The sequence below is a fragment of the Homo sapiens genome, chromosome 5, assembly GCF_000001405.40.
Source record: "Homo sapiens chromosome 5, GRCh38.p14 Primary Assembly".
NCBI classification, from domain to species: domain Eukaryota; kingdom Metazoa; phylum Chordata; class Mammalia; order Primates; family Hominidae; genus Homo; species Homo sapiens.
Genome location: NC_000005.10, coordinates 132,368,532 through 132,395,612, shown reverse-complemented (window position 1 = coordinate 132,395,612; position 27,081 = coordinate 132,368,532). Strand labels below are relative to the sequence as shown.

At 48.1% G+C, this 27,081-nt stretch overlaps 1 protein-coding gene and 1 long non-coding RNA gene across 9 annotated transcripts in view, besides 5 other annotated features; one reads left to right on the top strand and one right to left on the bottom strand.

The window, feature by feature from the left end:
- SLC22A5 (solute carrier family 22 member 5) lies at nucleotides 1-25,903 on the bottom strand. 8 transcript variants are annotated; one of them, NM_001308122.2, is made up of 11 exons: nucleotides 25,248-25,903; nucleotides 17,378-17,449; nucleotides 17,132-17,235; nucleotides 11,312-11,466; nucleotides 10,114-10,285; nucleotides 8,462-8,588; nucleotides 6,592-6,692; nucleotides 4,709-4,923; nucleotides 2,998-3,180; nucleotides 1,802-1,937; nucleotides 1-1,428 (listed from the first exon to the last, which is right to left on the bottom strand). In NM_001308122.2, the coding sequence occupies exons 1-11, from the start codon at nucleotides 25,638-25,640 to the stop codon at nucleotides 1,341-1,343; spliced, it is 1,746 nt and encodes a 581-aa protein (NP_001295051.1). In that variant the 5' UTR covers nucleotides 25,641-25,903; the 3' UTR covers nucleotides 1-1,340. The 8 variants fall into 8 exon arrangements, with proteins under 8 accessions (NP_001295051.1, NP_003051.1, XP_016865267.1 ...); NM_003060.4 differs by lacking the exon at nucleotides 17,378-17,449; XM_017009778.3 differs by lacking the exons at nucleotides 17,132-17,235; nucleotides 17,378-17,449.
- Nucleotides 8,773-8,982: an enhancer, noted in NCBI's record as "active region_23070". NCBI's record gives its function as "activates an Ori minimal core promoter by ATAC-STARR-seq in GM12878 lymphoblastoid cells {active_cell/tissue: GM12878}" and the evidence as "EXISTENCE:reporter gene assay evidence [ECO:0000049][PMID:35858748]".
- Nucleotides 9,123-9,172: an enhancer, noted in NCBI's record as "active region_23069". NCBI's record gives its function as "activates an Ori minimal core promoter by ATAC-STARR-seq in GM12878 lymphoblastoid cells {active_cell/tissue: GM12878}" and the evidence as "EXISTENCE:reporter gene assay evidence [ECO:0000049][PMID:35858748]".
- Nucleotides 9,666-9,995: an enhancer, noted in NCBI's record as "active region_23068". NCBI's record gives its function as "activates an Ori minimal core promoter by ATAC-STARR-seq in GM12878 lymphoblastoid cells {active_cell/tissue: GM12878}" and the evidence as "EXISTENCE:reporter gene assay evidence [ECO:0000049][PMID:35858748]".
- Nucleotides 18,509-19,010: an enhancer, noted in NCBI's record as "H3K4me1 hESC enhancer chr5:131712295-131712796 (GRCh37/hg19 assembly coordinates)". NCBI's record gives its function as "activates a minimal SCP1, AML or CMV promoter by ChIP-STARR-seq in primed H9 embryonic stem cells {active_cell/tissue: H9 hESC(primed)}" and the evidence as "EXISTENCE:reporter gene assay evidence [ECO:0000049][PMID:30033119]".
- Nucleotides 25,697-27,081, top strand: part of MIR3936HG (MIR3936 host gene) — a 58,641-nt gene continuing 57,256 nt past the window's right edge. The window contains exon 1 of the long non-coding RNA NR_110997.1: nucleotides 25,697-25,769. This is a non-coding gene — a long non-coding RNA (MIR3936 host gene). The remainder of the gene's footprint in view (nucleotides 25,770-27,081) is intronic.
- Nucleotides 25,701-26,020: a silencer, noted in NCBI's record as "silent region_16317". NCBI's record gives its function as "represses an Ori minimal core promoter by ATAC-STARR-seq in GM12878 lymphoblastoid cells {active_cell/tissue: GM12878}" and the evidence as "EXISTENCE:reporter gene assay evidence [ECO:0000049][PMID:35858748]".

The following is a 27,081-nucleotide window of genomic DNA, read 5'->3' as shown; positions in this document are numbered from 1 at the left end:
TTATTTAAAAAATCATTTTACTTATTAAAACTTTCTCATTTCCCAAGGCACTTCAGTAGCTTTCACAAAAACATGTTTGTTCTTTTTTAACCAGGTGAGGCATATGCTTTAGGAGTACCATGGTAACATAATCAGCAAAGAGAAGACAATTACACTGAACACAAAATATCACCCAATAAAGTTACAGGACTAAAGTGAGCTACTCTGAAAGACTATGAACACAATTTAAATTTCTTTTTTGTAATATCCTCCCATGACTAAGTATCAAGAAAGGAACACACACAATGACACTGTTTTTGGCACTTAGAGAAGTGCTAGAGGCTAGGGCTGGTAAGGCCTTGCACCAGTGGCAGCTGCAGACAATTGCCAGAGTGATTCTGTTTTAAAAAAAAAAAAAAAAAGACACAAACCAGGAGGCTAAGGAACCAGCCTTTCCCAAGTGCATTCTGAAGGGCAAATAACAAGGAGAAAAGGATACAACAACAAACAAATAAACAATAAAACAAAACCCACATTACAGCTTTGAGAGAAAAGACAACGTTGCTCATCTCTCTCACCTGATAAATTTCCTTTAAACCATACATAAGACGCTATAGTAGCAAGGAGGTTTCCACAGCAGTGGAAAACAAGAATAGTAGATTCAATGGAGCATTTATTATGAGCCTGGACAAGCCCAGTGCTTTGATCAGATGTAAACAAGTCTACTCAGTCGTCATGCTGAGTGGTCTTAAGAGCTCACACATCAGTGCACTTTGCTGGTGATCTGCATCTGCTCATTCTGCTCCATCTTCATTACCTTTCACTTTCCCTAGCTCTGCGCTCTCCTGCCCTGGGGAAGCAATGATCCAGTTAATGTCCTCTGTAACTGAGAAAAGGTAAGAATCAAACTCCTTGTGCAATTACTTCCTTTTCCTCTAAAGTTCACCACTAGAGGGGAGTGGGGAAAGGGGTGGGGGACTTAGACCTCTAGCCTTATTAGGGGCCTTTTCAAGTAGTCTAAAATTAAAATGTACATTTAGCATATGCTTCTCACATTCCTCCAGATCTCACTGGTTCTAGTGAAAAATTAACTGCTTTGGAGGTGCTGAGTCCATCATTGTAATAGTTAGGACTTAGATGAAGTTGTCTGTAGGTAGCCCCAGTGTCCCTAGAGGAAGGTGGTGCTCTAGGGCCATATGTAGCCTCTGAGTGTGGGTGCCCATCCAGGAGCAAGTCAGACACAGGTCAAGAGGACAAACAGCAAAGGCCTTTTGTCACTGAAGGACTCGGAGTCTGCACAAGCTGGCCATTTCTGGCAAGACAGTCTTTCCTCTTCAGTTTCTCCCTTACTGGAAGCGATGTTAGAAGGCTGTGCTTTTAAGGATTGTGGGCCTTTCTTGACCATCTTTTAACATCCTTGTGTGACTTGGAGTTTTTCTGTGTTTCATTCTATAAAAACAAGCAAAAATATGTCAGTAACACATTTTAAAAAGATGCCTCCCAGTCTCCAAACAAACAAGAACTGAGGATATCTTCCCTGGGAAGAGAATCCTGCAGCAGATTCTGAAAGGTTTCTTCTAGCCTCTGAGTTATCCAGTGCGGCTACTGCCATGGAGATGTGTATAGTGACATGTCCACACAGGAACAGACCAGAGAGGATGGGCTATAAGTAAGCACCTTGCCATTTACAACCCTTTAATGGCTAAACTAGTCCATGGTGTCTGTGAGAGGGAGTTTGCGAGTAGCTCTATTGTGAGGGGCTCCTGAGACCTGGCCAGACCCAGACCCAGTGCATCAACACTGACAGAGGAGGTCTTCTTACCCTTTGACTCTTAGCATCTGGTCAATGGTGTCTGGGAGTGGGGTACCGAAGCTCTCTGGGAGAAACAAGGTGAGGATGGCTGTCAGGATGGTCAGACTTCCCATGAGAATGTAGGGCAGGAAGCGGTCGTAGGCACCTATGGCAAAGCAGACGGAGCCTCAGGCCCAGGGCTGCAGTTAGACTTGGTCTCTCATCTACCCCTTTATGCTCCCAGGACTCTGGAAGGGGATCACTTTCCTTCTTGGTCTCACATCTCTCACAGTCTGAGCAGTCAGATTAGAATCTGGCATCTAGACAGGTTTCAGAACCCAGAGCTGGCACAGGCATGCCCAGAGCCCAGCAGTGTTCCACCATGCAGGGGAGGAGTACAAAGGGGCGGTTGCAGTAGAAGAGCTGGGCCATGCTGATTATTCCTATTTCTGGGCCATGCTGATTATTCTTATTTACCAAGGTTGGGTTTCCAAGGAACCTGAGGTACTTGTCCAGGGATGGAAATAACTCTTCCACCTCTGCAGATGTGTCCCAGCCCATGTGATCTGCCTTCAGATTAGGCAGGGTGCTTTTGCTTGCTTTGAGATCTACATAGCATGTTCACAAAGCACTCTGAGTACTCTCAGGTGGGTGCCACCCTCCCTAAAGAGGTACTGGCTAGGGATGTGCAGGAAACCACAGGTGCTATGAAGACATAATTCTGAGAAGAGAAAACTGGAGACCTGCTACATAAAATGGCATGGGGTGGATCTTCACACAAGATAAAATCACTCTATAGTGCTCTAGGTTATAATAATTTTCCGTTCATCAGACCTCTTGCATGGACATCTTTCCCCTCATGTTCCTTTTAAACTCTGATTCCAAGAAATTTCTCCAACTAAGCACACTGGCTCCCTAAACCACTCTGTAGGTTCTTAGGATAAAGGAATTGTAGTCTCTGATGGAAGGCCTGGGATGGCTAAAACAGAAACAAACCCTCTAATATTCTCATCAATTTCTAGGTAATCTATAGGTTGTTTTCCATTTGAAAGTGAGGGCCAGTGCACTGGGACAAGAACCCTTCCCGGCCAAAGATCCAGTACTGGATGGAGCCCATGTACTGTATGAACTTGTTTTCCTGTTAACACGCAACCTCCAGCTCACATTCAAGCCAGTTAGTACTTCCATCCCGTTGCTCTAGTGTGCCCTTGGCTCATGGGACTTACCAAGGTAAACGAAGTAGGGAGACAGGATGCTGCCCAGGCGGGATGCTGTGGAGCTGACTCCCACACCCATGTTTCTCACCACTGTGGGATACAGCTCGGCTGTGTACACGTAGACCATGGAAAAGGCAGCCGTGACTCCAAACTTGCCCACCATCACCAGGACTGTAGCCAAATAATACAAGTCTGGAGAAGCAAAGGAAAGAGGGTAGGAGTAGGTACCAACCCATGGCATGCAGCTATTGAGAGCAAAACAAACATACTTTCTTCCCAAATTTTTTGGGGAGTCAGTTTCTATCACTTCCTATTGTGGGGGAAGGGGCTATAGCCAAGATTTCCCTCCAAATTGATTGCTGAAAGGAGGCTGGGACCTGCAGCTATAAGGACATGCACTTTCCTCAACCTGGAGACCACCAGAGTAAGCTCCTTAATAGTCCAATCAACCTGCTTCCCAGTCTATAAGTCATTAAAGACATGTCTGTCAGGGATTAACTGTCACCCCAGAACCTCACACTGCAGGCACTATGGAATTAACTCATGATGTTTAGATGAATGGAGAATTCAGTTCTAACTCATTTCATGCTTTCCTCCCACTCAGACCTCAAAAAAATCATAGGCCATCAGAATCTCAAGTTGATCTTCTAATCTCTCTGTGCTGTGCTGATGGGAGAGCTATGTGTGACCTGAAGGTCACTCTGAGCTCAGCTGTGAGCCTCTACATCAGTTCTGGGCTCCTCCTGCCACATCCCATGGGGAGCTGTTCCCGTGCAGTGTTCTCAGCCTGATGGGCCCAAAAGTGACCATCAGAGGCTCCCAAATCTACAGGTACACTGAAGTCTCTGGGCACAGTGATGGAGAGGGAGAGATGAGGGCCCATGAACTGTTCTATAAATTATTGGAAATGGCTACCTCCCACCCATCTGTGGGATACTAAGATAGTTTCAGAAATAAAATCCTGCTAAGGCTCTGTGAGGCCCTCTCAGTGGTCTGGCCCCTCCCCTTCTCCCTCCTCCTCAAACATGCCAGGCTCATCCCCTGCTCAGGGTCGCTGCCTTTGCCATTTCTTCTTCCTAAAATGTTCTCCTAGACTTTTTCAGGGCTTTCTGTCACTTTATGTACATTTCTACTGAACTGCCCCCTGTTCAGGGACACTATCTGTGACTATGTAAACTAACTCGGCATTGTCCTTCATTTGTATTCCTAGAAGGTAACACAGTCTGAACTATATTAAGCATTTTATTTACTTGTTTGTTGTCTGTCTTCTCATCTAGGGTGTACGTTCCATGAGGGCCTGGGGTTCTGCCTGGCTTGTTTTCTTGTGTATCGTTATCACCGAGCACAGTGCCCAGCCCATGGTAGGCATGCCATAGCTATTTGTTGAATAAATAAAGAAGACAGGGCCAGGAAAAAAAGGAATGGGATAGCTATTTCTTCCCTCTTCTTCTGCAGTGGAAAACAGTATGAGCACATTAACTTGGGTACAGAGTAAAATTAACCAACAGCCCCAATGGCTGCTTTTTCCCACTCCCTCAAAGCCCAGGCCATAAGTGTTCTAGTCTCAGAAGACACTTTCTATTGATTTTTAGGCCAAGAATGTATATAAGCAAGGGAGCTGTGATGGGCTTGATTTTATTCTCTTTATTAATTGAGACAGCCTGGTAGACAGTAAGAGACTCAGTGAAGACCCCAAACCATAGATGCACATGGTCCCTACCTGGGGGTACCAGCTGCATGAAGAGAAGGACACTGCCACCCAGGAAGAGGGCAGTGGCCATGGAATAGCGCCGGGGCAAATATTGCAGCAGCAGCCAGGCCAACACATATGCTGGGACTTCAACCATCGCTGAAAGGAAGCAGTTCACAAAGATGTCCCCATGCAAGTTAGGAGTATCAAGCGAAAGCCCAAAATAGCCCACTGATATGGTCATCCTGAAACAGAGTGCAGAAGAAAGCTGGAAAAGCAGTATCCACATCTTTCCCAACCTGTACAACTTTTACAATGCAATTATTTCAGTAAATTCCAAACCATCTTTAAGCAGAGACTAGTAAGGCAGCAGTAACTGTAACCCTGCGTCTTACTTCATAGATCAAAAGATAATTTTCCCCAGCCCAAGTGGTACAGTGTAAACCCTGCGCCAGTGCGCTCTCAGAGCCTTCCATATAGACAGTGTCCCAGCAAAAAAGCTTGTATAATTCAGATAGATTTACTTCATTGAAAAGAAAAATTCCAACCTGCCTTTCAGCTTTAAAAATCCTAAGCTGAACCTCCTCAAATCCAGCAACTGCAGAAGGAGCTAGAGAATGAGTCAGGAGGCAGACATCAAGTGAGGTGTGATAGGATTTGGGGGATAAGATAACAAAAGGAACAACATTAGGTCAAACACTTGGAGAGAGACCCTCACACACTACCTGTGGTGACCAGTCAGGAAGAGGCTGGTCAGAGACAGCTGACACCAGCCCCGCGGTACTTGTGGAGCACAGAGGTGGCTCCCAATGGAGGGGCCACACTGCCTCTCATCAGGATGCCCTGCAGTACCCCTGACCTGGGCATCCCCAGTAGGCATTCTCTCTGTTGATGACCCACACTCTTTGACAAACCAGACCTTTATGGATTAGACTGTTTTGACTCATCTGCAGGTGGAACACACAGCTGGTACAATAAAAAGAGTATGTGCATGAGTCCCCAGGAAATCCAGAGCAGGGAGGAGAGCCTGGGTGAACACAAAAGTGGGTGACTCATCACAGGCTTGCATGTCTGTGGTGCAGGCTACATGCTGCTCCTGTCTTGAGGCCAACTCAGGGAATGGTGAACTGCCTGGAGGGATCCTGGGCCATTCCTTGGAAGCGGGTGACTCATAGCACTCCCTCAGTAGGCACAGTGGCTGACTGCCTCAAAGCTGGATGAGACTAGTAATAAGGACTCTGAGATGAAGTCCGCCCTCCTCGCCCATCTTCTCACCGCTAACCCACCAGGCTCCAGAAGTCGCCTAGAATCCCAGGGTTCGGCCGCTGAGCAAAAGCTAGCGATGTGCACTTGGACATGTTTCCTCTCCCTGGTAATTCACAAATCCCTTTCTGACATACTTTGCCTCATTAGTGGGAACCTGGTAAGGACATCTAGGCTATAGCCCTGACTCCAGGACCGTTTATGGACATCCCAGGAGGAGCACATCCCACTTCCACATTTCCAGAAAGTAACTGGCAGCCTCTGCAGCCTACAGGACATGGTGTCTTCACTCAGATCCTTCTTAAAAGCCCTACCTGGCCTCCTCAGCCACTGTCGGTAACTGGGTAGGAGACGGGAACTAAATGACCCAAATTGGGCAAGGATTCATCTTAAGATCTGGAGAGATTCCCCACAAGAGTCCATATTTCCCACAACAGCCTCCACAATTGTTTTCATTCTCCTTTTCTGAGGTTCCATCCCATTAAGAATTGTGACATGCCCATTTTTTCCATCTAACACAAGACATATCCTTTTCACTCTCTGATGACATAGGCTTTGAATTTTGTCTGAGGCATGTCTGTAAACAAGAGGCCCAATGGCCACTTCAAGAAGCTTTGTCTGGAAGCCTCAGGCAGGTCTCTTTTACATACCACAGCATTATGGACATGATGGTGACCATCCGGATATTCCAGGTTCGAAGCAGATCCAGAATGTTGTGGGACTGCTGCTTCTTGGAACTTAGGTCTTGTAACTGCAGGAACAACATCATAAGTGTATGGGAAGAAGAGGTGGTCAGAGACTCAGAGCACACAATAACATACTTGAATCCCTGGCATCTTAGCTGTCTGCATCTCAGCGTCGGGGAGTGTTACGTTTCTAAGAACAGTAAGTATACTGACTGTGTTTTAGGCTGTGAAAACTTCCCTAGGCCTTGTCAGTAACAAATCAGAGTGAATGAAAATGAGGAAAAGTAAGTGACCAGTCCCTCAAGGGTACAGGAAGACAGAGGCCCAGGCTGACAGCTTCCTCACTGCACCCCCACATATTCCTGTCGGTGGCCACATTCCAAGGAGGCCTCTAAGTATTCCTCCCGAAGCCTGGCTCCCTGCCCTCTGGGTCAGAGAGAGTACCTGGCTGTGTGGTTTATTGGTCTGATATTTTTTAAAAGTTAATGTTTTGAGTCCTTATACTATGTAGTTACTGGTGTGCTTCCAGGGAAAAAGAATTCAAATAGAAAAACAGGAAAATTGACCTGAGCTTCACCCAGAGTGACTTCCTATGAAATTCAGCACAGCCAAGGCCATTAATAAACCACACGTCTAAACACACTGATGTTGCTTTCTTAAGCAAACCCAGGTTTGGAGCTTGTTTTTCCAGAGTTAGAAGTTCAACAAAAGGTCAACTTTGGACTGAAAGTATCCCCTGAAATAGCCTCATTTCCTCAAAGATGCCAGTGGGGCTTATGCATTCACCCAGATTGACCCCTCACTTAAAAGCCCCCAAAACCACCTAACTTAAAAGCCCTCTGCCACACTCCTGCCTGACCTTTGCGCACAGGACCCCTTTCTGGTGCATGCTGACAGTGGCTGCTGGGCCACCACTCACTGGGAAGTCTGCAGGGCTGGCAGTGGCCATTGGCCTCCGCTGTCTACAATAACTGTTCCCTCTTTTCCAAGCCCAACCATGCCTGCCTCTCACACTTCAGCAGGGCTGCTTGTGGCTGTTCCCACACCCAACCCCTCATCTTCCAGTCAGACCACAGACACATTCCAGAACCCCACCAGGCAGCATTTACAGCTTCTAACCTCTCATAGTCACGAGACCAAGGAAAACTGCCTGCTACAGAGATGGTAGGAGAGGGAACGGGAAGGAAAAGCAAGAACCAGGAACTAGGTAGAGCCAAGAAATGAGTCATGGTGTGTGAGAACAGGGCTGACGGGAGGGGTGGGGTAGGGGGAAGAGGTGGACATCAAAAAGGACCTGACTCCAAGATGATATGCAATAATTAACCATTGGAGGGCAGAAAGAGACTAAACACTTTTTTTTTCTTTTTAATGAATAATTGCTAATACTCAAGAGATGAAATACTTCTAACTCCAAATCTATTTGTGCTTTACATTTTACGTTTGGGGTTAGCTTTGTAAGGTGACAAGCCACCTTAGGTATAAGAAACAATGATTTTCCCAAATGCTGACTTTATGAAAGGCCTATTACTCAAAAAGAGTATTTATTGTTAGAAGTAATGGTTAAAATATATGATTGCCTAGAAAGGAAGTAAAAAATGAAAATCTGAAACCCGTGGTGAAAAGAGTGAGGCAGCTGTAACCTATTCCTCAACTTCTGAGTGTTAACAGGGCCCGTGTGGGGGTGGGGAGTGGGGGGATGGGGGGAATGGGCAGTTGGGGCTTGGGCGGAGAGAGGGCTGGGCTGCTGTGAGCAGGGAGGACTTCAGGGCTGGGTGCTGCTGCTCTCAAATCACGGTCAGTCTGTCCCTCTCACCCACACCCACATGGTGCTTACCTCACTCGGGTCAAAGATAGTGGAAGGCACAACAATCCCATTGGCTTTGGCAGCCTTGCGGATGATCACCTCTGCCTCTTCAAATCGTCCCTGAGAGATGAGCCATCGGGGGGACTCAGGGATGAACCTGGCAGTACAAGGTCCAATCTCAGTGAGGCCTCCCTGCCAACAGCAGACCCACAGACCAGGTAGAGCACAGCCATAGGTGGGAATAAGGTTGCAGAACCAGAGCTTGTGGAATGTTTGGTGATCACAAGCCAGAAGCAAAGAGCTGATCCACACGCAGCAATAACCTGGGGTGGATGAGCTTATGTGTACCCCACACCGCACAAAAATGGGAGAGCCCTGCACCCCCTGACGGCATCCCCATGCTGGCTGGCCACCTCCATTTCTGAAGAGCAGTGTTGCCATCTGCTGGGCTGAGGAGATGGGTGCAAGATGGGCTCCGGAAGCCTGGCTTCTGTGCATGTCTATGTCAGCCCAGGCCCTGCTACACTCTCCTCCCTGTCCCCGGCACCAACAGAAGCTTCTGCACTGGCCTTTTAGCTTCTCTTCTCTCCTCACCCTACCCCTGATTTATCCAACAGATTAGTCAGATACTCTACCTAAAATAGCATGTTTGGCCAGGTGCAGTGGTTCACTCCTATAATCCCAGCACTTTAGGAGGCCAAGGCCGGTGGATCATTTGAGGCTAGGAGTTCCAGACCAGCCTGGCCAACGCAGTGAAACCCGTCTCTCCAAAGAAATACAAAAAAAATTAGCCAAGTGTGGTGGCAGGCACCTGTAGTCCCAGCTACTCGGGAGGCTGAGACATGAGAATCGCTTGAACTGGGGAGGCGGAGGTTGCAGTAAGTGGAAATCACGCCACTGCACTACAGCCTGGGCAACAGAGACTTTGTCTGAGAAAAAAAAAAGAAAAAAAAAGAAAAGAAAAAGAAAAGAAAAAAAGGAAAAAAATTAGCATGTTTATCAAGGCACTTGAGTGCTCTATGGATATTATTTTCCACCTTGCTGGGACCAGGTAGCCGCCCCCCACCCTCGGTCATGACTGGGCCCCATGATGTGCGGCTTACTCTCCCACTATGCCCTGAAATGCTCTCTGCTCCACTTGGGCTGGTGATCTCACCTTCTCCACCTGCAAGGGGTGATTCCCACCTTAGCACCTCTGCAGTGTTCCCCTCTTGGTCTGGAATGGCCTCTTCTCTGCCTGTTCAACTCCTCTACCTTGGTGGTGCAGAAGGAGCCTGGCTTCCTCCATGTGGCTACCCTGAGGACTCTTGCTTTTGGTGCCAGTGCCTGTGGCATGAGGCTTCAGCAGCACACAGCCAGAACTAGGGCCTACACTGTCCTGCCCTGAGGCTTGGGAACTTCCTACAGGGCATGCTGGACCCCATCTTCTCACAGCTACTGCTATTTTTCCCCACACTTGGGGCAACCCAGCACAGGGCTGAGAGCAAGTCTGTTGCTGTCATGGGATTCTGTTTTGTTTTGGCTCTTTTGAGTGTGGAGAAAACATTCTGAAATAATTTATAATCTATGCTTCCTGTCTCTGGGAGACAAAATAGGGATTCATGGGTTGTTGCTGCCCTCTAGTGAAGGCCAGACAGAAATCATCCTGCCAGTGGGCACATGGGGCACAAGGTCACACTCACCACCAGAGTGCCACGCATAGCACCCCCGGCATCGTCAGCGCCACCAGCAGCATCCGCCAGTCTCGGATGAAGTAAGCAAACAGTGGCAGCACCATGTAGCCAAATGCATAAAATATGCACACTCCTAACGTAGAGAATATTATACGAACTGACTTGCCAAGAATTTCTGTCCCTGTTCAAAACAAGGGAGGTCGAGTTAGCAGTTTAATTTGGGTTCCTTCCTTATTAATTTTTTATGGTATCTTTGTGAATACACAGACAAGAAAACAGCGAGAACTCTCTCTAAGTTCATGGCGCTAGGGAGCGGATGGCGTTCTGAACCCCTCCTGTCTGACTGTCTCCTGGGGGTACATCCCTGTGGCCTCTCAGGCCCCCAAGCAACAGTTCTCTCTTGAAAATTTCGCCATGTTCTGAAGCCATGTGCTAAAGATGCCATGGTAGGCCCCCTTTAATCCTCACATGAGGAAGAATTTATTAAAAGTGAAGTCATTACTAAGTCAGCACATGCTGACTTAAGCCTCAAGGAAAGAATATTAAATATAAAAAGAAAAAACAACCCTTTCAACAATACAACCCAAGGAACTCAAAGGCCTTATCAGCTAGAGTCAGGTTCCTCCAAACACAGGCCGGCCTGGCAGCTTCTCAGTGACAACAGGCTGGCACATTTGAGACAAAGCCCTGCAGTGTGCACTCTGAATTAAAACCCTGAAGGTGACGAAAGCCCCTTCCTATCAATTTATTCTTGTCCGTAGATATCACCAGCCACAGTGCTCTGCAGACAAGGGGTTCTCTACCTTAGCAAGCTTGCCAGTCACAGCCCCTCCTCCTCCAACCATGCCGCCCTCTTTCTGGGGCTGGCTCAGCCCTGTGCAGTGGCAGGCCCTTTTTGTAAATGGAGGATCTCTGGTGAGTCCTAGTAAATTGACCATCAAGTACTAAGACCAAGGAGCCACAGCCCAGAGGCCAGAAAAGAACTGGAAATCAGAAGTCAGGCCATTGTGCTGCTGGGGACCCCAGGCTGGTCTCATGTCTGGCTCAGTTTCCCTGCCTGTAAGTAAGGTTCACCAGGAAGCTCTGGCTAGTTTTGTTAGAAACCCTGTCCCCCTTGAGGGACATCACAGTTGTCTCCAGAAAGGTAGGTGATGGGATGATGGTGAAATACAGGATCAAGTACTCAACTCCAACCTGATGGCCATACCCAGGACAAATGCTGCCACATAGTTGGAGATCTGGCCCATGCCTACAAGGACAAACAGCACGACAAACATCTCAAAATTCTTCGAGAAGATCTGCAGGAAGCTGAAGCCTGTCTGCATGCCCATGGTCACGAACAGCACATTCTTCCGGCCAAACCTGGGAAGAAAAGGAGAGTGACAGATAACCAGCTGGAAAAGGGCAGCAGGAATGGGCTCCACCAAGTGGGGCTTTCTCAAGATCCATCCAGTAAGTGGGTGTGAACAGTGTTGCCAGAATACTGGCTGCCAGGGACAGTCTCGGTCTCACAGTGCCCATGCTATTTCTCCCCCTCCCCACTCCCCATGACAAATGTACAGCCTGGGTACCAGGGTTGCCTAAAAAGCAATGCTACAATTATGATAATGATTGCAAGAGACTGAAATACATCAATTATTTAATCCATACATTCATAATGATATTTTTTTTAAAAAAGAATCTGCCAAATTTGGAGAATAACAGAGAAACAATTCATTATAAATGAAAACTGGCAAATAAAGAGAAAGAAACATTTGTCCTGATTTTCCTTTGTAAACTATGTGAACAGCAACCAATAATAGATAAGAGGTAGTATCATGTACAAAAGTATTCTAACTTTTAAATGAAAAGGTAATAAAATTAGAATAATACCATTTATAGCCCCCAATGGATTAATAGATCTATGCATTATATACTAATTACTGTTAACATCATAAAGAGACAGTCAGGAATTGCATGCTTCCTATGGTCTGGCCAAAAGGACTGAACCTGAATCAGAACCTGAATCTCAAGTCTCTGGATCCAACTGCCAATTTTGAGGAAATGCAGAGCATAGAGGAATGTGCTGAACTGCATCATCAGTGTGCAATCAACAAATCCAGACTGGGAAATTCTATAGGTGGAATAGCTCAGGTTCTTCATAGATAATCAGTAAGGCATAGAAGGCGATAGAAGGAGAATCCATAGATTAAGTAGACTAAAAGACATCAAATATATTAAGTGGGCAACACTAAATTTGTGTCAAGGATGCATATTTCGATAATAAAACTAAAAAAACTCACAAGGAAGTGATTATTACAGGAGTCAGGCTAGCGGTTACTTAATGGGGAGAGAGAGAGGATGCTGTAATTGGGATGGGGCACATGGACAGGGCTTCTTAGTGGACAGCAAAGTTCTACTGCTCGACTTGGTGGTGGTCATAAGGTTATTTCTCTGAAAAAAATTCATTAAGCTACACATTTGTTCTGTGTGGTTTTCTGTATCCGTGCTCATTTTAAAAAGTTTTTAAAATTGGGTTTATTTTGGTTTGTTTTAAAGAGAGTGCCACAAACAGGAGGAAAAAGTCAAGCTAGTGGGAAGCAGTGGGTTCAGTTTGAGTCTGGCCAGTACTGGCTGACACCCACTTTCATTCAATGTTTATTGAGCATCTATTATAGAGGGCACTTGGATATCAATAAATTAAAAAAGATGCTGTTTCTGCCCTTAAGGAGTGTCATAGTATAACTGGTGAAACACATATTAACCACATTTTAATCTAACAACACGCTACTGAATATACAATTACACACTGAGTCAAGTGCACTGAAGGATCGGCATGCAGGTTAATGAGAGGCACAAGGAAGGAAGCTACCCTGGACTGGGGGTAAGGGTTGGGGAACTGGACATTCAGGGAGGGTCTCCTTGATCATGGGACACTGAGATGGGAAAAAATAGTTGACGATGGGGGATTTAAGGTGTAGGGACCAAGCTCTCAATGATATTCACAGTATAGTGCGGAAGACCAACATTAATCCTATAATAACACTTTTTTTCCCCCAATTTCTGGTAGACGTTTTAAAGGAAAGTCATAAGGAACTAGGGATCCTGAATTAGCCAGCATGGTTAAAGAAGGCCACAGGGGGTGGGTTGGGGTGGGTGGGGAATGCTTCAGACTCTGAGAAGACCACACACCCCCATGGCTGGAGGGGGCATGGTGAACATGAGGAACCAGTGTGGTTGGCATCAGGCGTGCAATTCAAGAGTACAGTGGTGGCTAGGAGGCAAATTGCACAAGGTCTTGCAACTATGTGGAAGAGTTTGGTGTTTTTCCTCAATAAAAGAGGTTTTTTTCTGTTGTTGTTGTTTTTTTCCATCACTTGGGGTTCACTGGCATCTAATGAGTAGAGGCCAGATATGTTGTTAAATATTCTAAAATGCCCAGGAAAATGCCCTAGAACAAAATTATTTGGCTCAAAATGTTAATAGGGTCGAGGTTGAGAAACTCTCGCCTGGTAGTAGACTCTACTTTCCCCTGCATGGTTTTTTTAACAAGCATGTTCTATATGCCAACCAAGGGGTGGTTCCTAACCACAAGGCAGGCTGGTATAATCTCTATGCCCTTTCCCTTCCTAAGAGCTCCCTGGGATGGTAGGGAAGAGACAGATCCAGAGAACCCTTTACATAGCACCAGTCCTTGGCAGTTCAGGGTTGGGGCCAGAAATGTTTGCTTTTAAAGTCTGTCAACAAAATGGCAAACACACACATACCTGGAAACAGGACACAGCAGTCTACTTCTTCCTAGAGTTGTGCATCTCTTACAAGTCAGACGCATAAAGATAACTCAATAGTGTTACATAAAGGGCTTTGACAACCCAGGAGTACTTTAATTGCTCTTGAATTTCAGACATATTCATAGGCCAGAAAGAAGGTGAAACCTTTATACTATATAAAAAGTTACATTGATGTCCTAGACAAGTTAGGGCATGAATTGATTGCTTTCAGGTAATCTACTTAGCTTAGGTTTTAGAACTGGTTTACTCAGAAGTAATGCACTCAGAAGCTGTCCATCCCACAGGGCCCTGGGCCTTCCAAGGGGGCACAGACAGGCTTGAGGCAGGGCATTGGGAATTGAAGGCAGGGGCTGCAGGCAGAACAGCCATACTTTTAGCCACTTAGGGTGTATTTCATTTACTAGACTTAAATTATCCTACTTTAATGAAAGTTCTGTGGCCAAAATGTTTAGAAAGGTTTGAAAAACACTATATTAGCCCTTCTGTAGACTAAAGTGGTCCTAAACACACTCACAAATTTTGTTTCCAGTTTCCCTGGGAATAGACCTTTTGGAACTTAAATGCTTTCCTCAGGTAATCATTGTGTCACATGGCAAGAAGGTTCTTAAGCTGACCCATGACACAGCTGACCCAGAAAAATACACTGCATTTCTACTCTGAACTTGGGGTATCTCCTTTTCACATCAAGGGCATTCTTCTGAGCCGCAGCTGTCACTTAGCTCCGTGAGAAGGAATCTCCCATGTCCACTCAGGTGGCCTCTAAGCATAGCACAATCCTCCCCCAGTTCCCCCCTCCCCTCCCCACTCCCCTCTCCCCAGGCAACCTCATCCCTATCTGGGGCTCTGCTGAGGGTTCTATATGCTGACAAATCCTACATGTGTTTCTCTAGCCAAAACCTCTCATGCAGTACCATATCCATACAGCCAGCTTCACACTCTACTTCTCCACTTAGGGGTCTCATAGTCACCCCAAATTTAGTACACACAAATTGAACTCAATATCCATGAACGTGGTTCTTTTCCAGCATTCTCTGTCTTAGAGAAGTGTACCTTCATTCACCCAGTTACTCAGGCCAGAAAGCTTTCTTCCCCCAATTCCGACATCCAGCCCATCGGCAAGTCTTGTTGATTTTACCTCTTACCACTTCCCTCCATTTCTACCACCGTCATGCTAGGCCATGCCACCATCATCTCTGGCATGAACTACTGTGACAACCTTTTAATTGGTCTCTCTACAACACCTTTTGCTTCCCTTCAATTCTTTCTTCACAAGGTTGTCAAAGCATCTTTAAAAAAAAAAAAGGACAAATCTGATTGTCACACTATTGCTTTAAAAAATCTCAGTAGCCCACCGCTGCTCTGTGGCTGAAGCCCAAAGTCCTAACTGTGATCCACTAAGCCCTGGTTGCTCATCTGCCCAGGGCTCTGCCTGCCTCTCCCCTTCATCTTAACACCACTCTCCGCACCTCTACCACACGGACTTTGTCCTGCTCCCATGCCTTTTCATGAGCCCCGGCTTTAGCACTTGCTATTCTCCCTGCCTGGATGTTCTTTCTCCTCTCTACCCCTCAGCTGGCTACTTTCGACTCATCTTCCCACTCTCGCTCATGCTTCACCTTCTCAGGGATGCTGCCCCTGACCTCCTCTGTTAGACACTCCTGTGGCACCCTGCACTTCTCTGTATCTCTTACCATGGCCAAGGACAACAACGACTTCCTCACTTGGTTGTTTAATACATTCCACCTTGCTAGAAAGCAAGTTTTAGGACAGCAGGGACCTAGAACAGTAGTCCATACACAATAGAGGAGCAAGACTACCTGGGTCCAAATCCTAACTCTGCCACTTGCCAGCTGTGAAACCCTGGGCAAGTTATTTAATCCCTCTGTCTCACTTTCTCCATCTGTAAAGTAGGAATAATAAACAGGTTAACCTGCTTTTTAAAAAAAAATCTGGCTGGGCAGGTGCAGTGGCTCGCGCCTGTAATCCCAGCACTTTGGGAGGCCGAGGTGGGTGGATCACCTGAGGTCGGGAGTTTGAGACCAGCCTGACCAACATGGAGAAACCTTGTCTCTATTAAAAATACAAAATTAGCTGGGCATGGTGGTGCATGCCTGTAATCCCAGCAACTCGGGAGGCTGAGACAGGAGAATCTCTTGAACCTGCGAGGCAGAGGTTGCAGTGAGCCGAGATCGTGCCATTGCACTCCAGCCTGGGTAACAAGAGTGAAACTCCTTTTCCAAAAAAAAACAACAACAATAAAAAATATCTGGCTGCGCATGGTGTCTCACGCCTGTAATCCCAGCACTTTGGGAGGTTATGGAGGGAGGATTGCTTGAGGCCAGGAATTAAAAACCAGGGAAGATGCTGGGACTCCTTTCCACCGGCTAACCCACCGATTTGTGGGGTGTTCTCACATGTGTCATGTGGCCAAGGACTTGCTGAAGGCTGCTACTCTCTTCACAGTCTTCTCTGACAGACCCTGAAGCTCCAGGGAAAGAAGACACAACATAATGGACCCCTCTAAGAACTTCATGAAAGCTACGGACCTCTCTCCAAAAAAATGCTCACATGTAGTCTCTAACATTGTGCATATAATTTCGAGGGGTTTGGGATTCTCTAAGCCGTTAATGTTTCCTTGAGTTAAAAGCTTTAGAATTATACAAATAACCTGCTTATAAGAAATGGATCAAAACACTATTCTCCCTCCTGTCATAAAGTAAATGCCAAAACCACAGGCCACTTAGCTAAGGGGCATCAGCCTTGTGGACAAAAGAGTTCTGCTTTTCATACCACTAGTGGCTGGTGAGAGCTCCTTTCACTTTGCAGAGAGAATGCTGGTCTTCTTGGGACTACAGAGGCAGACACCGTGGCACTACTACAGATCTACAATCTAGCACATGTGCATGTGTGCATGATGTCAACCTCTCCCATGCTCAGGGGCATGACAGAGTCACAGTGACCCAGGGGAGGCAAGCCAGGCTACTGCAGAAGTGAATCATGGCATATTACCTAGTCAACCGGGTCACAGATACATTCAGCTTAGACAGCTCAGGTTTCTTTACTTAGCAAGAATTACGGAGTCAGATTTGTTGGCTCTTCTTACTAGGCATGGAGTCTATATCACAGACATAGCTTCCTCTTCTTTAAAATACAGGGCCCTGCGCTGAAAGAATACTACCAACTGAAATCAAGGGCCAGGCACACGCTTCTTCCTCAGTGCTGAGGTCCCCTGGTGCTCCAGAAGACAGACACCTTACCTGTCTGACAGCTGCCCTGAAATGAAGGAGCCCAACAGCACACCCACGAAGAACAAGGAGATTGTGAGTGGGGCCTTCCAGTCGTCCTCACACACCAGGTTCCACTGCAAGATGAGCAAAGGGGGTGTATCATTCACTTCTTTTTAAAAGGTTTTAAAGCAAAGGCATCCTGGAAAATGAAGTCAGAACATCCTGCCATCCCCACACGCTCTGAGTGTGAACTCACTTAGTCAGGTGATGGCTCACCTGGGCAGGAAGGCAGAGAGCAGGCTTCTTTCCCATCCTGTTTTTCATAGCATTGTAGGCCCCACTGTCTTGCTTCCATTTTGAGGAGGAGAGACAGGCAGAGAGTAAGTGTTCTGTCCACATGCTGACCCTGGAGAAAGCAAGGCCTCTAACGCTTGCTCCTAAAAATCTGAGCGGAGCCCAGGGCTGTGGAAGAGGCAGGGCACCCTCGCTCAGTGGGGTTCAGGCCATTGGCATGAACGTCACTGGAGTGGTTCTGGAAGCAGGGCTCTGGGGCTCTACGGGCCAAAGCATCCAGCAAGAAACTAAGGCCAGGGCACAGAGTGCACCATCTGGACCTGCTCTGCTCGGGTTCCCACCCTGGGCCAATGACCCCCGGGTCCTTTTTGTGACCTTTAGAGCTGGAATCCCTGATGCTGCACACCAACTATACTAGGCTCAATTACAGCTGAAAGTCCTGAGCTTGGAGGTAAGAAACTGGGTTTTAGCTCCCACTCTACTATTAAAACTCTTCCAACCTCAGATAAGCATCACCCCATGCTGTGCCTTGATTTCCCCATTTGTAAAACAGGGATTGGGGTAAGGAATAGGCTGCACCGCTTGAGTTTCCAGCTTCCAATGTGTGGTTCCATCTATAGTTACCATGAACAGAAAAAGAGGTCTGAAGACATGGGGAAGCAGCCAGACGCTTGGATCTGGCTGCGCCTGCCTAAACAAGAGCCAAAAGCAGGAAGAAAGCCCAAACGGGAAACTTAGTGGTTCACAGAAAAATGAAAAATGTTTTTCAGACAGAGAGATGGTGCTCAGTAGTAACCTTTGCAGACTTCTCACATGAGCAACCACCCTCCTAGGAACTCAGACCCTTGCCTCCCTGGTGCCAGGCTGCTAGCCTGCCCTCCACGGAGCCTGCTGGCTCCTCACCAACAACGCAGGCAAGGGGACATGCGGCTCCCTAGAACAAAGCATCTCTTCCAAGCCAGTGACAGGGAAAAACAAGCCTGCTTCTCCGCACTGCTGGGCAGTGTGGGCGCACAGCCTCCGGGCACCTCTCAGAGGGGTTGGCAGGCAACCCTCAGGCTGGACACGGAGAACTCCCGCAGCAGGCACACTGCTGGTGCTCCGCTTTGGAATAAGCGTGAACCTGGATGGGCTGGGAGTAGGGTGGCAATCCCCAACCCAGGGAAGAACTGGAGCATCCAACCCCTAATCAGGAGGCAGCCCAGACTAGCAGGAGTCAAGAACATGGGAGGACCACAGCCTGACTGCCCAGGCTGCCACAGCCTCCAACCTCCACAGCCTCAGAAGGGCCAGCACCCACAGGCCATCTCTCTGGTAGGTGGGTAAGTATCCCTGCAGTGGCCCCCACCCACACATGGCTGCTAAATCTAGGACTGGGAGTGGAGGCGGAGAAAAAGCTGAGGGAATTGATGACAGGGTGCCGGCCTCTGTGTGTGAGGCCAAGCTTCAGGGGCCAGGACCTGGCTCCTGCCACTCTTGAGTATGATGGGCTCTATTTCCCAGCTAGCATGTCTTTTATAGTGGAAAAGATGAAAACATGAACAAAGGGTCAGCAGCGGTTTCTCACAGGACTATCATGAGGTGAGGGTTGGGGACCCATATGGCTGAGCTAGACTAGCAATCCACGTGGGCTTCTGCAGTGAGTTCTGGGGTTGTAGACCCCAGGACAGGTCTCCCAATATCAGGCTTCTAAAGACTCCTTGGCTGGCAAGGTTGGGTGTGACCTAAAACCAGGTCAGACAATCTCTGCAGGGGACAGGGTGACTATAGTGCTCATTTTGAGATAGGCCCCAGAGCATCTCTCAGGCTCCCTTAGCCCCACCCTCTCTACTTGGTCCAGCCTGTCCTTAGTCTAGGCAGGTGTGTAACTCCTTGGTTAACTCTGCCATCCACCCACCACTGACCGCCCTTGACAACTCTCTGGGCCTGGCTTTGGGCCCTCCAAAAGCAAATATGCATTAACACTTCTTTCCTATTGGCCGCAGGGGGTCTGTGAGCAGGATCAGGAAAGGTGCTAGGTCTCAAAACTGAACACAAGGGCAAACATAGATTGGGTCCCAGCCTGCCAATCCGTCCACATATCTGTCAACCACCAGATGGACTGCAGTAGGTTCCAGGACTTGGCCAGAATCTCCCTGAGAAGAGGTGGATGAGAAGCACATAGAGTCCAGGCTAAGTACCCCCTACTTAAATTGTTTACAAAGGAGTCTAGCATTCCTTAGCTCCTGGCTCCCCAGCTGTGATTAAAGCTGCTACAGACCAGCTTATTGATGCCTCCGCCTGGCACATGGGATGGGCTATACTGGCTGATGATCACAGGTATCAATGTTAAAATGGAATGTGTGGGTTTAAGATTTGGGTCACGAGTCTAATGCTGTCACCCTTCAGCTGGCTGAGCTGTGAATGCAGGCCCAACCTGAAAACAATCTGGGAGCAACTCTGGCAAAGGGCCTAGACTTGCCCCTCTTCCTGGGGAGAAATGCACCTTTCTAGTGGTGATGGTTTCAAGGGTGTAGAGATACATGTGTGCCAAATTGCATGCTTTAGCTACATGCAGTTTTTATGTCATTTACACCTTAATAAAGCTATTAAACATTTTTAAAAAGAGGGAGAATTGTGTCTCCTATACCTCATACATAATTGGCACTGCTTTTTCAGTTATGAGAAGTAGAGAGATGACATAGTTCCCTGGGACTAAATGTTCTTACCTGTGAATTGGCAGGAAGGGAAAAAAGATAGGGTGTGTGCCCCTAAGACAGAAGTTCTTCCCTGAGGGGATGTACCTAGCCTGACCGTATCAACAGTCAGACATGCTGCTAGGTACCACATGTTACTGATTGCCATGTATTCCTATATTCCTACACACATTTTATCCTGCCTCCTGCTGAAATCAATGATGAATCCTTGCCCCACCGTTGTCAGAGCAAAGAGAAAAGGTATTTCCTATCTTTGCTATCACATCCTCTACAACTCCTGGCAGTGCCCCCTGTATAGAAGAGAGGCTCAGGAGCTCTTTGGTACATAGGTGAGTGAATGAATCGATAAATAAAAAGGTATCAACCTTCAACATCTTGGTATACTTTAGTTCTTGCTTGGCTGCCCAAAGTCGAGATGAACCCTGAACTCCTGAACTTCAATCTCCAGAATACTCTTTTTTTTCTTTTGAAACAGAGTCTTGCTCTGTCTCCCAGGCTGGAGTGCAGTGGCACAATCTCGGCTCACTGCAACCTCCACCTCCTGGGTTCAAGTGATTCTCATGCCTCAGCCTCCTGAGTGGCTGGGACTACAGGGATGCACCACCAGCCTGGCTAATTTTTGTATTTTTAGTAGAGACGGGGTTTTGCCATGTTGACCAGGCTGGTCTTGAACTCTGACCTCAGGTTATCTGCCCACCTTGGCCTCCCAAAGCCCTGGGATTACAGGCAAGAGCCACCACACCTGGCCATTTTTTTTTTTTTTGGCTCCCTGACCCCCTGCTTTGTGTCAACTGTCAGAAATTTGACCCAGGATTACAGGTGTCAGCTAGCTAGAGAGTGGCTCAATCTGACCACTCATGGCCAGATGTGTCTACTATGTACGTGCATAGTGGGCCACGGGACCCCGCAAGTGGCTTCTCTGCCTTGCCATATAGCTGCAAAAGGCTGGATGAGGGTCTGTGTGTCCCCTGAGTGAGAGAAATCAACAAAGGCGTAACAGTGAGGTTCAAGCTCCAGGTCTCTCGGGTCTCTGCTGCCCAGAGTCAGCCCCGGTCCCAGCTCCCAGGTTGCTCTGGCTTTTCCTCCAGGCAGCTTTGGGGATAACAGTGAGGGCTCTCCCATCTTCTAAGACTATCTGTCTCTACACAAGATAAGGCTGATAGAAAAGCTAGTCCAGGACAATGGGGAGGGAGTGGGAGTCCCACCCAGGACTGGGCCGAGGGCTTCTTAGAAGCAGACAGGTGGAGAGCAAGGCGATGCAGAGCAGCTTGGAAGTTTCTTTTCTTTTTCTTTTTTTTTTTTGAGACGGAGTCTTGCTCTTGTCACCCAGGCTGGCATGCAATGGTGCGATCTTGGCTACTGCAACCCCCACTTCCCAGGTTCAAGAAATTCTCCTGCCTCAGCCTCCCTCCCGAGTAGCTGGGATTACAGGCACCCACCACCACGCAGGGCTAATTTTTGTATTTTTAGCGGATACGAGGTTTCACCATGTTGGCCAGGCTGGTCTCGAACTCCTGCCTTGTGATCCACCTGCCTCAGCCTCCCAAAGTGCTGGGTTTACAGGCATGAGCCACCACACCCAGCCGGAAGTTTCTCAAGGAACCTGTCTGTCCATAGGCTGGACAGAGCTATGGTGAAACCAAAGAGCGGACAGCCCAGACAACCTCAGAAACAACCCAGGTTTCCAGCAGATGGGGCAGTCCATGGCCAAGAAGCACTGCATGATGGGTTGGCTAATTCCCCAGTACCCCAGGGATGACTGAGGGGCCAGAGGAGAGGCCAGCCGAGAACCATGTGGACCACCAAACTATTCCTGGAACATGGGGGCATAAAACTCTTTTACCTCATAAATCATTTTTATTTATTAATATTATTATTATTCTTTTGAGATGGAGTCTCGCTTTGTCGCCCAGGCTAGAGTGCAGAGGCTCGATCTCGGTTCACTGCAAAGCCCGCCTCCTGGGTTCAAGCGATTCTCCTGCTTCAGTCTCCCAAGTAGCTGGGAATACAGGCATGTGCCACCACACCCAGCTAATTTTTGTATTTTTAGTAGAGATGGAGTTTCACCATGTTGGCCAGACTGGTCTTGAACTCCCGACCTCAAGTGACCTGCTGCCTTGGCTTCCCAAAGTGCTGGGATTACAGGCGTGAGCCACCACGCCCTGCCAATATTTATTTATTAATTGCTAGCAGATTCCCTCTGCCAATCCCAACACCTCATTCCACATCCATGTGGCATCAAAGCCCCAGTCAGTGGGCAGGGGGAGTCACATTTCCTTTAAAAAATTCCAGTCAATCCTTTTCAGCCACCCTCAAGTTTCCCTTCTAAGAACTGAACTATTTTTCTTTAGTTCTCAAACTTTAGAGATGATTTCTTAAATTATTCATTAACTCATTCAATAAAAATTTTCCTGAGAACCTCCCTCTGCATCCAGAATTGTGTCAGAAATTGAGGAAGACGCAAAGATCTAAATCCACCACAAAGTTTGGTACTACATGTATGTACTTTAACTTGAACAAATTAAAAAAATCCAAACAGGACACCTGAGGTTCCAGTCTTCAGTGGAAAAAATATGACTAGTAATTCAATACCAGTGTACTTACAAACACCTTTATGTATGATTTGGGGCAGAGGGCAGGCTTAGAGACATTTAGCAGGCATGGGACTAGATGCAGTGGTCAGCAGGCCAGGTTTGGGTTGAAAGACAACAGGCCATAGAAAAAGCCATTAGAATGTTGATGCAGCAACTTCCAGCAGTAGCTGTTCACCTGGGAACAAGCAGCTCTGAACTTCAAGTCAAGCATTCCAGTAGCCCAAAACAAAGATCTAAGCATTAATCTGGCCTCCCTGCAAAGACTGACAACATATAAGTAGGTGAAAGGGCACATAACTCCTTTGAAACTGCTAAGACAGCTAAATAAATAGTCTAAATATTAAAAAACAAAAGGCTGACATTGGCAGCAAGATAAGGTCAGACCCCCTGGCACAGCTGGCCTTTGGGAGCTCATCAATGCCACCATCACTCAGCCCAATGTGGGATGGAGGCAGCAAAGCAGGAACAAGTGACTAGAGTAAGCCGGGGAACCCTCAGGGGTCAATGTAAAACTCCAAGAGATGCCATGTGCTTCTTCTTGCTTCACTACTTCCCTCTTCTTTAGGCAGCCCCAAGTAGAATTTGTAGGGATTCCTGTGTCATGTTCCCCTCTGTGGCCTCTGCCTGCAACCTCAGGGACAGCCTCTGCTTTCATAGTACTCACTGGCTTCCGGGAAGGTAACACACCCACCTGTGAGGCTAGGACCCAGGATTTGTGGCAACTGAAGGTTCCAATTTCCTGTGGATTCATGGGCCAGAAAGCACAGTTGGCTACCTCCAAGGAGTGCCTCTTTTGTCAAGCCATGATGCCTCTGGACACTGAAGCTATGTCACTAGCTAAGAAATCCCAGTGGGGCTCCGGTCACACTCCCACTACATATATGTGGAGAAAGCAGGTCCAAATGCTGGGGACATCAAATTTCCAAAAAGAAAAAACACACACATGCACACACACTTGGATCTCCCAGGGTAGCTCTCAGACTCCATTGAAGGGTGATGACGCCAAGAAGCAACACAGTTGGGATCTCCAGAGCCCCTGTAAGCCCCTCTGAGGCTCCAGGAGGGGAGGCTCAGCACCAACATCCAGCAGGGCTTGAAGCTGTGCCAGGGCCTGTGGCACTCTCCCTCTCTATGAACTCTCCCCTCTCTGTGAACTCCGCCGTCCTGCTGGGTGGTTTCTTGCTGCTGCACTGGGGCCTTCAGCTCACTATTATGCTGAGCTGAACACCCTAGGCTCACGGAGAGGCCTCCTCTTCTGGGAAGCCTTCTCTAACCTGCGAATTGGTCATCTGCACATTTAGTGAGCCTATCTATCAATGAGGGCTATTCACTGGCTACTTACTCAATGCTGCTGAAACTTCAGGGAGCTAGAGTGCCAGTGTCTAAAAAAGACACAAAACACATACATCATTAACATCATGTTCCTACATCCAGCTCCAACAACTGCTCCAACAGGTTCGGAGGGGACAGACAAAACCACCCAGAGGGAAAATCCAAGGGGATGAGAAATGAGAAAGGCTCCCCTACACCCTATGACCTAAGGCTGTATGCTTTAACTAAATCTGGCCGACAGCCTTGCCTCATAATACCTGAGAAAATATTCCAGGTCAACAAGTCACCCTGAACCCATCTTCAGATGAATGGATCTTAAAGAGTGACAACTGACGGCCTGGCGTGGTGGCTCACGGTTGTAATCCCAGCTTTGGAGGCAGAAGCAGGCAGATCACGAGGTCAAGAGATCGAGACCATCCTGGCCAACACGGTGAAACCCCGTCTCTACTAAAAACACAAAAATTAGCTGGGCGTCGTGGCTCACAGCTACTCGGAGACTGAGGCAGGAGAATCACTTGAGCCCGGAAGGCGAAGATTGCAGTGAGCCAAGAACGCACGACTGCGAAGGTTGCAGTGAGCCAAGAACACACGACTGCGCTCCAGCCTGGTGACAGAGGGAGACTCTGTCTCAAAAAAAAAAAAGACTGACAACTGACCATGGGAAAAGGCAAACAATTACTTACAGGGCATGACCAGATTGTCGTTTTTGGGTTGTGGACGGTAGGGGAAGGAGTAACTAGAGGAAAAAGGGAAGAGGCAGTTGTATACACATGCTTTATTTAACTTTTAAAAGTTCAGGAAAGAGAAGTATTTCTTCTCTTCTAAAAAGAAATCAAGAGACTAGAGGAAAAACGGGATAGCCCCTGGCCCAAGTCCTGGCTCTGCTACTTACCACCCCCAACCCCAACTAGAGTAAGTCCTGGACACACAGGGCCATAGAGCATCGCCCAGGGACCGCCAGGACCTTCCTGGTACCCTCTTCAAAGTGGCCATCAGGACGGGAGGCCAGACTGACCACCTGTGCAGGGAGGAGCACACTGTGGCTGGAGGTCACCTCGTGAAGCGTTCCCAAGCCACCTGGCTGGAGGGTCTCCATCGCTAGGGTGTTGACCGTTGGGGGAGGGGGAGTGACAGCGTCCAGTGCGCATCTGGGAGAGAGGAGCTCGGGTTCAAGGACCGCGACAGGTCCTCCGAGCCCTGGTCTCAGCCCCAGCAGGGGCCGGCACCCACCTCGGTCACAATGGTGGACAGGTAGACGTCCTGACTGAACTCCCAGCCATCCAGACAGCTCTCCTGCTCCAGCTGCCCCAGGTCCACGTCGCGCCCCGGCTCCAGCCCAAGCGCCGAGAAGTTGGCGATGGTGGCGAGCCGGTAGCGGCGGCAGCTGTGGGGCACCTCGCGGCCGTCCCGCAGCCGCAGTGGGACAGTGTGGTTGCGCCAGGCGCTGCTCAGGTTCGCGGCGTCCGGCACCCGGCAGCGGTGCTCCGGGGTCGCTATCAGGAACACGGAGGACAGGCCGGTGAAGCCATTGGGGATGATGCTGGCGCTGAGCAGGAAGAAGATGAGGCGCTGGAAGGGCCCCCACTCGCCCAGGAAGGCGGTCACCTCGTCGTAGTCCCGCATGCCGCCCTCAGAGGCCCACAGAGCGCGGCCTGGGGTCGGGGAACGCGGCGGGCTTTGCGCGTGCGCGCGGGGCACCCGCCGCCGACCAGGCAAGCCAGGCAGCAGGCGACCCAAGACCGTCCGCGGAGGGTAGGCTCGCGAGCTGACACCGCCGCCTTGGTCCTGCCGCGGCTGGCCTTACATAGGGCGCACGACCAGGGAAGGTTGCGGGCCTGGGCCGCAAGGCGCGCCCCGCTGGCAGGCAGAGCGGCGCCGGCGAAGGCGGAGCTGGGGCGGGACGCGAGGGCGCGGGGCGGGCCGGGAGTGCACCTGAGGCCCGGGCGGGGCCTGTCCTGGGGACCTGGCGAGGCCCGGCCTCTGCCAGCCAAGCCTGCTGGGGACGACCGAGGTAGCCCGGGCTCGGCTTAGGAAGGCAGCGGGACTCGAGGCCTTGGGGTCCGAGTCCGAACTCGCTCCTCTAGCGCCGGGCGGGGAGCGAGTGGGAGAGCGGCCGCGAAGCTCCAGTGTTGAAAACGCACCCCTCCCAGCTTTTTGCAAGGCCTACTTGGGGGCGGAGGTAAGGAGAAAGTCACTGGCCCAGGGTCTCACAGATAGTTGCTCTTGACACCGCCTAATCTTATAAGAGGGACGGGGATTATTTTGAACCTGGGACTGTTAACTACCCTAGTAGAGAGGCTGGGAGCTATGACTTTTCATTCTAGTCCAGATGCCCTTTCCACATTTTCGTCTGTAACAAGCCATTTTGTTCATGCAGATGTAAAAATTTAACTTCACGATTAACGATCCTAGCCTAGGGTTAAATATTCCCCACAGATTAGTTATTTCCGTGCAGAGTTTATTCAGAAGCTAACTGGAAAAAAAAAAAAAGCAGCGAGGTGATTCTAAAGCAGCAATGTTCCATAGGATAAGGAGCTACATTTGTTATGTTAACTTTTCTAGTAGCCATATTAATAAAATTGCCAGATTTAGCAAATAAAAATATAGGACTCCTAGTTAAATTTGAATTTCAGATATAGAATGAATAATTTTTAAATATTATGTCCCAAGCAGGAATATATAAAATAAAAATGTAACTGGTTGTCCTGTATTTTATTGGGCAATGCTGCATATTTAAAAAGTAAAAATAAAAGATGAAATTAACTTTAATGGTATATTTAATCAAGTATATCCAGAACATGATCATTTCATCATATAATCAATATAGAAATTATTGATATTTTACATTGTTATATGTAAATCATTGATCTTTTTTTCCCCTCCTCATACTAAATCTTAAGAATTCAGTGTGTTTCACAGGTTCTCAGGATTTGAAAAAAAAAAAAAAAGGAATCCAGTGTGTATTTTACAGCACATTTCAATTTGGACTAGCCACACTTTTTATTTTTTAATATTTATTTATTCATTTATTTATTGGAGACACGGTCCCACTGTGTCACCCAGG

Excerpts from the sequence above, each read along its gene's own strand:
- SLC22A5 (NM_001308122.2), bottom strand. The coding sequence starts at position 25,640 with ATGCGGGACTACGACGAGGTGACCGCCTTCCTGGGCGAGTGGGGGCCC. Across the intron at positions 8,589-10,113 it reads CTATGCGTGGCACTCTGGTG|GTTCATCCCTGAGTCCCCCC; the intron begins GTGAGTGTGACC and ends TTGTACTGCCAG. Across the intron at positions 3,181-4,708 it reads CATGCAGCTGGTACCCCCAG|ACTTGTATTATTTGGCTACA; the intron begins GTAGGGACCATG and ends TTGCTTCTCCAG.